Raw genomic sequence first — 10810 nt, 5'->3', positions numbered from 1 at the left:
TACAAAAAATTTAAATAAATAAATAGCTGCCATAAAATTTCAACATAATATATAGTCAACTAGTTCTGTGTTATGGTCAGTTAATAGAAAGATAGCGGGAATGATGATATGAGCAAAAGTAAACAGAACAAAGAAGAAAAAAGATAGGAAAAAGAAAGTTAGACAGAGAAGAGAAAAATAAAGAAAGTGCTTTATTGAATGAGCTAATTACATGAGGTCACCAAGAGGAACATCCTCTAACTGAGGCGCTGTGATGACAACAACACCCGATGCTGTCATTGTCCTGGTGTCTTCCTCACCCTGGCGTAAAGGAGATGCCCAAGCTCTGCACAGGAAGGCATCGTCGGCAAGCTCTCTTCTCCGACACTCCACCGGAAGGATCACAGAGCTGTGGTCTTGGCCTGGATGGATCGCAGCTCTCTCCACCTGAGGGCCCCCAGCTGGAGGGACCGGAGAACACTGGCGTCTGGCAGCCCCGTTTCCACTCCTACCAAGAAGGCTCAAAGACGACGGTCAGCTCAGGCTTTTCTTCTTGAAGTGTTTCTAACGCACTTTTTGTCTCATAATTGAAATACATTTCAGACAACCTGTAAAAGCAAATAGAAAGCCTGGGTTGCACTCTTCAGATAACTCTGTCAGAGTCGTTAACCTTAAAAGTCTCATCTCTTCATTTCCCTAAACTCCACACACTTCTAAAATGTAAAAAAAAAAAAAAAAAAAAAAGAGGGACCACAACTCCCAGAGTGCTCCGCGTCCTCGCCGCCGTCGCCGCCGCCGAGACCAAGATGGCCGCGAGACTCCGCACCTTCTTCAAGAATGCCTGGGCCAAGGAGCCGGTGCTCGTCGTGTCCTTCGTCACTGGGAGCCTCAGACCCCCAGGACCCCAGCCTGGAGTGGCTGAAGAAACTGTGAGCACCTCCAATGACAGAGGAGGCCCCTCCCACGGCTCCCAATAAAAATGTGGGGAAAAAAAAAAAAAAGCTCTAAGTGCCCAATGTGGTTCCTGTTATATTTTTAACTATCTAGTTGGGAAAATGTTAAGCATACATAAAAGTATAGAAAATAGTATAATGAACCCCCTGTGTCCATTACCCAAGTTCGACAATTAAACAGGTCATGTCAACTTGTTTCTTCTATTGCCCACCCACTCCTCCCACCCATGGATTATTTTAAATACTGCATTTAATGCATCTATCAATAATTCACTTTGTGACACTAAAATATAATTACAATGTCACTATCACACCAAAATCGTTTAACAATAATTTCTTAGTATCACTGTATGTCCAGTCAGCATTTACGCTTCCTCAACTGTCTTGTAAATTTTTTTACCTTATGTTCATTTAGTCACTAACCTGATCAATTCTACACATTGCATTTGCCCAGGATGCCTCTCACATCTTCGATGTAAGTTCTTCCTCCTCTTTAATAAAGTTTCCCTTGCAACTTAACTAATAAATCCACCCATTTGTCCTGCACCATTTATAACCATCTCAATTTGGTGGTGTTATATACTGAATGTTTGTCTTCCTTAACAATTCCCATGATGAAGCCCGAACCCCTAATGTACGGTACTTAAAGGTGAGGCCCTTGGGAAGTAGTTAGAGTTAGATGAAGTTGTGAGGGTGGGGCCCTCAGTATGGGGTGAGTGCCCTTACAGGAGAGATATCAGAGAGTTTGTTCTTTCTCCCCTGTCTTCTCTCCCTTGCCTCCCCTCCCTCCATGCAATCACATAACAAGAAGGTAGCCATCTGCAAATCAGGAAGAGGACTCTCGCCAGCAACCAAATTCATCAGAGACTTGATTTTGGACTTTCTAGCCTCCAGTATTGTGAGATAATAAATCTGTGTTTGAGTCACACAGTCTAAAGCAGCTTGTTATCGCAGCCTGAGAAAACGGGTTGATTGCATTCATGGATTCTTCAATCTATTTTGAGCCTGTCCCTCAGCCTGGGTCCAGAATGTCCCTCAGGGCTAGGTCAGTGATGCTACATGTAGCAGTGTCCCCAGCTTTGACCTGACCAATCCTTTGTTTGTTCCCCCATCTCTCTTAGCTCTGGGAATATTGGCTTGTCCTGCAGCAAATGTGCTCCATTATGTTGGCACAAGGATGCAAGGCTGATTCAAACTTGTATTTATTCAAACCTGCATTCCAACAAGTTCTCAGCCTTGAGATCATTAATATGGACAGAAGTCCCTGGACTAATGGAATTTATATTTTGGGAGCAGAGATAGATAATAAATAAACAAGAAAATGACATAGCACATAAGATGTGCTACACTGCAGAGGAGAATGAGAAGAGAAGAAAAAGTGCTTCTATTTTCAGTAGAATAGTCAAAGACAGCCTCGCAGAGAAGACCTTTAAGCAGAGAATTTAGGAAGGTACAGGGAATAATGCAGGTGGATACTGAAGGGGAGAGAGTTCTAGGCCAGAAGAAAAGCAAGTGCAAAAATCCAGAGATGACAGTGTTCTTGCAAAACAGCAAGGAGATCACTGTACTGGGGCAGAATAAGCAAGGGTTGGGAGAAGCGGAATCTTCGGAAGCAGGAGAGGCTGGATTATGTGGGGCATGGAAGCCACCATGAGTTTGTTGCTCTGATTATGAAAGTGATAAGAAGACGATGTTGACAAGAGTGATATGATGCGAGTTACGTTTTAGCTGAATCCCTTGTCTGCTAAAATCAGAATAACAGATGCAGGGTGACCTGTCAGAATGCCACCATGACAATCCAGACACCAGGTGATGGTGGCTTGAGCCAAGGAAGAAGCCGTGAAGCTGGCCTGAAGTGGTCAGGGAGTGGCCAAGCTGGGAAGGCAGAGCTCACAGGATGTGCTGACACATTGGACATGATTATAAGGAAAAAGAGACAGTGACGACAGAACCAGAAATGTTTTGGCCCGAGCAACTTGGAGGAAGTGACCATCGACTGAAATGGGGAAGAATCAGGTTTCGGGTAGAAGAGAGTAGCAAGGGTGTGGATCTAGATGTGACGTTTGAGAGGTTTATTAAACCTTCAAGAAGAAAGATCAGCCAAGCACGGAGACACAGAATTTATGGACATATAATCTGGAGGCCACAGCACACATATCATGAAGCCAGAAGACCAGATAATTTAAATGAGGGAGAAAGTGTAGGGAAGAAAAATTAGCCCAGCGACTAAGCTCTGAGGATTCAACACATAAGGGTCAGGATGATGAAGAAGAGGCCAGAAAGGAGACTGAGTAGAAGGATCTGATGAAATAGGAGAAAACCCAGGAGAGCATGTTGGCCTTAAAGCCAAGCAGTGAAAACGTCTTCAGGGAAAAGTGCAATCATCACGGCTGACAGAACCGTGGGACTCGCCAGGAAGCTCTTGCTAGAGAGGAGACGACTACCTCAGTAGTATCACAGAGGTGGGCTGGCAATATCCTGACACACTGTCGAATTTCGTGTAATTTCCCATCTTGCTATTCCTGGAGCACTCTTTTCCCATTTAGAAATCCTCAGAAACCGCCAGGCACGGAGGCTCACACCTGTAATCCCAGCACTTGGGGAGGCCGAGGCAGGCAGATCACGAGGTCAGGAGATGGAGACCATCCTGGCTAACACAGTGAAACCCCAACTCTACTAAAAATACAAAAAATTAGCCGGGTGTGGTGGCAGGCGCCTGTGGTCCCAGCTACTTGGGAGGCCGAGGCAGGAGAATGGCGTGAACCCGGGAGGCGGAGCTTGCAGTGAGCCGAGATCATGCCACTGCACTCCAGCCTGGGCGACAGAGCAAGACTCTGTCTCAAGGAAAAAAAAAATAAATCCTCAGAAACAAAACAACAAGATCCCCACTATGTAAAGACCCTTCCAATTTGGATGACCCATAGACGAGTTCTACGAAGTTCGGTTCCTTGTGTAGAACAGAATCCTCCTTGGCCATGATCGCATGAGGGCTTGTGTTTCTTTGGGGAATGTGGGTGAAATCCAGCTTAGCCTTGGTGATTCTAACCATCTCAGTGAAGTGGAATGTGTAGTTTAACCCCATATTCTCTATTTTAAAATATCCACCACAACTGACCCAGGCCCAACCTAATCTTGAGTGGCTGCAAATGAAGCGAGAGCCATCCTGGATTTTGATAACAGTCAACGTTTCCTGAGAACTCAGAGTCCCACCACGGGCATCTCTGCAGAGCACACTCACCCCAGGTTCTGCAGGAGGCAGCTCTGCTGTTTCAGCACTTCACAGAACATCATGACCCCCAGGTCGCCCAGGTCATTGTTGCCCAGGCTCAGCTTTCGCAGGCTCTGGCTGGAGGTCAGAAGTGTGGAAAGATCCCAGCAGCAGTGTGACGTGAGGTTGCAGTTGTCTAATCTGCAAAAAGGGGGTGATTTAAAGAAAATGTCCCCTTAACCATCCCCCTAGCTCCCCAAGATTTTAGCATCTTAGCCTGTCTTGTTTCAGGTGGAAAAAAAAAAAGCACAGGAGCACAGGACTAACTAGCTTCAAGCAGCCTTGTATGCTGGTAATTATTCTTCTCTCTCTTTTTCAAATCCACTGCATTGCACAGATCAAATTAGTAACAGTGGTTTGTTCATTGATTTACCAAATTCTGTGCCTTTCCCTACATTTCCATAAAATGTAAGTGTCATACTGCCCTCCTTGTTTTGTGGTACAGAAAACTGTGATGGTAAGGACTCAAGTTCCTACATCTATATCATCTGGAAGGACTCCTCCCAGTCCCATGATCCTGTAACAAGGCAAACACTAAGAAGACACCTCACTTCTAAGATACAGATTATCTTGTGGCCACTCTGCCTAAACGTCCCTCCACCCTTGGCCACCATGTGTTCTCATTGCTGTAATAAACCAAAGGACTTACTCCAACACCTGAAGCTTGCAGTCGGGGTGCAAGAGTCCCTCACAGAGTAGTTTGATCCCCTTGTCTCCGAGAGTGTTGCCTCGCAGGTAAAGGTGCGTGAGATTCTGATTAGTGCTGAGTACCGAGGACAAAGCTGAACAACAGACTGACGTAAGGCCAGAATTCACCAACCTGTAGAAGGACAGGGAGAAGAGTCCTCAGTACCCAGCTGTTCCCCAACATTGTGCAGCTGCTTTGACTCAGTGCCTCGTCCTCTCTCAGCAGCTGCAGCCTTCAGCTCAGAGAGCAGGAGCCAGCATCTCAGATATGATCTGGGGAGAGCAAGACCTGCTGTCTCTGGCTGTCACAGGAGACACAAATGATGTCTCAGCAGATGCTTTGCTGTATGAGTCCGACAGAAAGAGCCAAGGCAAACTGAGCCAGTTACCCCATACTCCTCCTCCTCCTCACACAGCTTTCCTCCGGCCAGGAGTGCTCCTCAGCACCACTTCTTCCAGAAACACATCCCAGTGGTTATCCTCAACTAATAATCCCCGTAACACTGCAGACACCCACACTGCAGGGGCCTTTTTTTTTTTTTTTAAGAGAGACAGGAAAAAAAAATCCTCCTCATGGGAAGTCGGTGCTGATTTAAACATCAAAGACAACAGGTGAACGTCCATTGTGACCTTCTAAGCTGTAGCTAGGGCTGTGACAGGAACACGGCGGGGCCCTTAGCAATTGCCACCTCCCGCCTTCCTGCGCCCCCAAATGCCCCTTTCACATCTTTCTCGCTGCAGCCCTCAACCACGTTGGAGAGGTGGGAGGATCGCTTGAGTCCAGGAAGTCGAGGCTGCAGTGAGCCATGATTGCGCTGCCACACTCTAGCCTGGGTGACAGAGTGAGACCCTGCCTAAATAAATAAATAAATAAGGCCAGGTGCAGTGGCTTATGCCTGTAATCCCAGCACTTTGGGAGGTCCAGCACTTTGGGAGGGTGGATCACGAGGTCAGGAGTTCAAAACCAGCCTGGCCAACATGGTGAAAGCCCATCTCTACTAAAAATATAAAAATTAGTTAGGGTGGTGGTGGGCACCTGTAATCCCAGCTACTTGGGAGGCTGAGGCAGGAGAATTGCTTGAACCTGGGAGGCAGAGGTTGCAGTGAGCCGAGATTGCCACTGCACTTCAACCTGGGCAACAAAGTGAGACTCTGTCTCAAAAATAAATAAATAAATAGAAAAAGCCAGGCTCTTGCTCAGTCACCCAGGCCAAGTGCACAGCTCACTGCAGTCTTAAACTCCTGGGCTCAGACAATCCACCCACCTTGGCCTCCCAAAGTGCTGGGATTACAGGCATGAGCCACTGTGCCTGACCCAGAGACCAGTCTTATTTGATTATTATATCAACCTGGCAAGGAAGGAGTGCAGCTAAAACTATTACATACATTTTACATATTAGAAATCTAAGGCTTATAAAAATTACATGTTTCTCTCAAGGCCACAGAGCAGGTGTGTGGTGGGGAGGGATCCAGACCTGGACTTTCCACCTTTTAGTCTCATCTTCTCCCCACTGCCCTTTCTGTCCACCTCTCTCTTCCTTCTGCACAGCAAAAGGCCTTTTAGAGCATAAAACCCCAAAAATGCATCAATCTCGATGGAATTAAGAGTTTTGATGTACTATTCTTGAGTCAAATTAAGCCCATTCTATCACCCAGGAAGAGCATAAGAGCTCTAAAATCACTGGTGGCGTAATTCCTAGGAGCACAGATGCTTCTATTCCATGAAGCCAGGAATAGCGCAGGTGATTGCCTCCTTCCTGCCAGAGTCCTTGGCAATGGCATGTTTTTTAAGCTCTTTGGTGTCTACGAGGCAGGAAAAATAGAAATACAGAAAAAGTGTATTCAGACAGTAAAGCATGAACAGATGACCAGCAGGAAAAAGTGATTATCCATCCACTGGTTTCTATCTTCCCAATTAAGGAAGAGTCAAACTGAAAAGACACAGTAAGTAAGACTAATAGGCAAATGAAGCCCAAGAGAGACAGACAAAAACAAAGCAAGTTTTGAGTGGCTTCTACTAAGCTCTCATCCCCGGTAAGAATTCTATCAGAGGGTTGTTGTTAATTAACATGCAGAAGGGATTAGTAGCATTCCTGGCAAAGGCCAGGGACATTCTAGTAGAATGGGGATGGTCTTCAAAGAGGAAAAGAGAAAATATTTTTTAAATTATGTAATTAAAGTTATGCAGGCTTTACCACTATTTCCAAAAAGGAGTAGAATGGATTATTCAACAGATGTTTGGGGAGCACTACACAGTAGTAGTAGAAATTGCAACAGACGGTGCAGTTTTGTTAAGAAAACGTCATATCCAAATTGTGAAAATGCTGGTAACTATTAAGCAACGGTTACACTGAACACATAATAAAATGTTTAAAGAATCAAACAACCATGTCCCACCAACCAATCCTTGGATTAGAGGAATGTGATTGACATCTCGATTTCAACCAATCCACCTAACTGAGCTCTACATTTACCAAGCACGGATATCTTGCCATGTACTGTATTAAGTTAATTGGTTGGGGATTTTTATTTATTAACTACCTGCCTATGTCACAAAACTGTCTCATAATGAAAACTGAATCCCAGTGCTTTGGGAGGCCAAGGTGGGAGGACCACTTGAGGCCAGGAGTTTGAGACCAGCCTGGGCAACATAGCAAGACCCTGTCTCTACATAAAAAATTTTAAACATTTTAAACATTACCCAGGCATGGTAGTACACACCTGTAGTCCTAGCTAGTCAGAAGGCTGAGGCAGGAAGATTGCTTGAGCCCAGGAGAGTTCAAGGCTACAGTGAGCTATGATCCTACCACTGCACTCCAGTCTGAGCCACAGAGCAAAACCCTGTCTTAAAAAAAGAAAAGAAAAGAAAGGAAAATAAGGAAAGGAAAGGGGAAAGGGAAAGGGGGGGGGGAGGGGAAGGGAAGGGAGAAAGAGAAAGAAAGAAAGAGAGAGAGAGAGAAAGAAAGAAAGAAAGAGAAAAAGAAAAAGAGAGAAAGAAAGGAGGAGGAGGAAGAAGGAAGGAAGGAAGGAAGGAATCTGAAGAAGAAGATCAAACATTTTTTGAGTATTTATTGTGTGCTTGACATGGATGACGACTTTAAACAGGGTTATCTCATTGAATGATCACAACCTCAAGATGGGAATGTTAGTTTTATCCCTGCTTTTAAATGGACAAAATGAGGATCACAGTAATTAAAAAATAAGTAGGAGCTTCTTAGATGGATAGTAGAAAGTGGGAAAGTGGGGGTAACCTTCCAGGCAAAAGGAAAAGAGTAGCAAGAATAAGGAAGATTAAAAGAACCACCAAGATGTTTCAAAACTAATTCATAGCTGGGCACAGTGATGTCCACCTATAGTCCCAGCTACTTGGGCGGCTGAGACGGGAGGATTGCTTGAGCCCAGGAGTGCAGATGAGATCAGGCACTCTGGGTGGTATGGCTGTAGATGAACCCAGGAATTCAAATTCAGCCTGAGCATCATAGCAAGTCCCCATCTCTAAAACAGCAAAACAAAACTCATCCAATATGACTCAAAATGGAGTGCAAGGTATGGCAGGAGAGAGGGCAGTATCAGGGACAGCCTTGTGTGCCAAGCTAAGATGTCACTCTGACTGCAGAGAAGAACTTTTGAAGATTTTTGAACAAAGGGTCAATATTTTCAAATTTGCATCTTAAAAAGTTCCCTCTGGTGTAGTGATGAGTGGTAGAGGGAACCGAAAGCAGAGCATTTAGGACCGTCCCCCGTTTACTCACTCAGCAGCCTCCTGGAAAGCCCCACTATTCAATGAGGCAGGAGGAAGAGGGCAGGAGCAGGTCAGAGAACGGGGGTGGAAGGTGGGGTATGATAATTAAACCAATGTTGCAAATGCTCAGCATGTGTGACCCTTGAGCAGTATTGAGACAGGCAGTACACAATATGCAGCCAGAGATGAGGACCCAAAGTTCGAGAGAAAAAAATGTAGCTATACCTAACACATAGGCTATACCTAACACATAGGCTATACCTAACACGTAGGCTATACCTAACCCATAGGCTATACCTAACACACAGGCTATGCCTAACCCATAGGCTATACCTAACACACAGCCACATGTATGGCTGTACCTAACACATAAAATGCATAAAAGTCTCGACTGATTAATGCCACTTATAGATACCTATCTCAAAGCAAATACACATGCATAAAACTATATATACAAATGTGCTTTTTGCAGAGTTGTTTGTAATAGTGGAAAAGAACAGTTATCCCAAAATGCATGATTTGATTAAATAAATTATGGTAAAGCACACTATGGGATATTATGCCCCAATCGATAGATCTACACAAATCAGCATGGAAATTTATCCATGATAAATGAAAAAAGGATATCACAGAAAAATATTTATATTATGGTTCTAGTTTCAATAGATAGGGTGTTATGGATTGAATTGTTTCCTCTAAGACTTTATATGTGGAAGTCCTAGGCCCCAGTACTTCAGATTGTGACCTTATTTGGTGATACGGTTACTGAAAATGTAATTAGTTAAGATCAGGTCGTTACAAATCTAACATGACTTGTGTTCTTTCACAGGGAAACTTGGGACATGGAGAAAGACACACACAGACACAGGGAAGACACCACGTAGAGATAAAGGCAATGGTGTGGCAGAGGCATCTACAGGTCAAGGAATGGCAAAATGTGTCAGCAAGATGACATTCCACCAGAAGCCAAAGAGAAGCATGAACAGATTCCCCACAGCCCTCAGAAGGACCCAGCCTGCTAGCATCTTAATCTCACACTTCTGGCCTCCAGAACTGAGGGACAATAAATTTCTGTTGTTTAAGCTGCTCTGTTTGTGATACTTTATTACAGTAGCTCTAACAGACTAGGCATTTAAAATACTACATAACAATGTATTACAAATGCAACATGAAAATCACATAGGTCTTCATTCACATTACTGATATAAATACCACCCAGATCAGCATATACAGGAAATCCATTTGTCCATAATTAGCAACCAATATATGTTCACAAAGCTCTGATACTCCCTTGGATGGATTGATGGATGGATGGATGGATGGATGGATGGATGGATGGATGGATTGACGGATGGAAAATAGAGGGATGGATGATGGATGGATGGATGGATGGACAGATGAATGGATTATATAACAATCTATTGTATTAAAAAAAGTCTGGATGGTTGTTCATCAGACTATTGTAAATGGCTCTCTCAGAAGAGGGCTGAGAAGGAGCTTTCACTTTCCACTTTGTCTGTACTATGATATGTTTACACCAAGCATGTGTTACTTTTCTAATAAAAAGTTTGTGAATGATATCTGGGTTTGAGACCTACTGTTGTTGAAATTGAGAGGTATATGAGAATTCTCAGGGAGTTTAGAAATATTTAGTAACAACAACAACAAAAAAGGTAAACCAGGCGGGTGTGTGGCTCACGCCTGTAATCCCAACACTTTGGGAGGCCAAGGCAGGCAGATCACCTGAGGTCAGAAATTCGAGACCAGCCTGGCAAACATGGTGAAACCCCGTATCTACTAAAAATACAAAAATTAGCCAGGCATGGCAGTGCACACCTGTAGTCCCTGCTACTCAGAAGGCTGAGGCAGAAGAATTGTTGGAACCCGGGAGGCAGAGGTTGCAGTGAGCCAAGATTGCGCCACTGCATTTTAGCCTGGGTGACAGAGTAAGACTCCAACTCAAAAAAAAAAAAAAAAAAAAAAACACAACTAAACCAGTCGTGAAATCCCCAGACCACAGGAAGAGAAGCCAATGCAGGATCCAGGGAGGGGGAAGCTATAACATTAGCAGGAAAGACTAAGTAGTGACCTAAAAATAAGAGCGAAGAAGGCTTCCAAAGAGGAAGAGTGAAATGAATTAAAGGCAGCAGATGTCAACTAAAGTAAGGACTGGGAAGGACC

General features: G+C 44.3%; 1 protein-coding gene and 1 long non-coding RNA gene across 21 annotated transcripts in view, besides 2 other annotated features; one reads left to right on the top strand and one right to left on the bottom strand.

Annotated features, from left to right (window-relative positions):
- NLRP3 (NLR family pyrin domain containing 3) overlaps window positions 175-10810 on the bottom strand; it is a 32741-nt gene continuing 22105 nt past the window's right edge. For all 20 annotated transcript variants that reach the window (XM_047443535.1, XM_024452862.2, XM_024452874.2 and 17 more), the window contains 3 exons: window positions 4850-5020; window positions 4171-4341; window positions 175-587 (listed from right to left, as the gene is read on the bottom strand). In XM_047443535.1, coding sequence (XP_047299491.1) covers window positions 488-587; window positions 4171-4341; window positions 4850-5020 — 442 coding nt within the window. In that variant the 3' untranslated portion in view covers window positions 175-487. The remainder of the gene's footprint in view (window positions 588-4170; window positions 4342-4849; window positions 5021-10810) is intronic.
- On the top strand, window positions 765-9711 carry LOC124904575 (uncharacterized). The gene is made up of 2 exons (XR_007067005.1): window positions 765-908; window positions 9459-9711. It is a non-coding gene; the product is annotated as an uncharacterized LOC124904575 (long non-coding RNA).
- Window positions 8376-8445: an enhancer, noted in NCBI's record as "active region_2871". NCBI's record gives its function as "activates an Ori minimal core promoter by ATAC-STARR-seq in GM12878 lymphoblastoid cells {active_cell/tissue: GM12878}" and the evidence as "EXISTENCE:reporter gene assay evidence [ECO:0000049][PMID:35858748]".
- Window positions 8456-8775: an enhancer, noted in NCBI's record as "active region_2870". NCBI's record gives its function as "activates an Ori minimal core promoter by ATAC-STARR-seq in GM12878 lymphoblastoid cells {active_cell/tissue: GM12878}" and the evidence as "EXISTENCE:reporter gene assay evidence [ECO:0000049][PMID:35858748]".

Source organism: Homo sapiens, chromosome 1 (assembly GCF_000001405.40).
Source record: "Homo sapiens chromosome 1, GRCh38.p14 Primary Assembly".
Lineage (NCBI taxonomy): Eukaryota > Metazoa > Chordata > Mammalia > Primates > Hominidae > Homo > Homo sapiens.
Note: the sequence above shows the minus strand (reverse complement) of the source record. Positions and strands in the feature narration are given on the sequence as shown.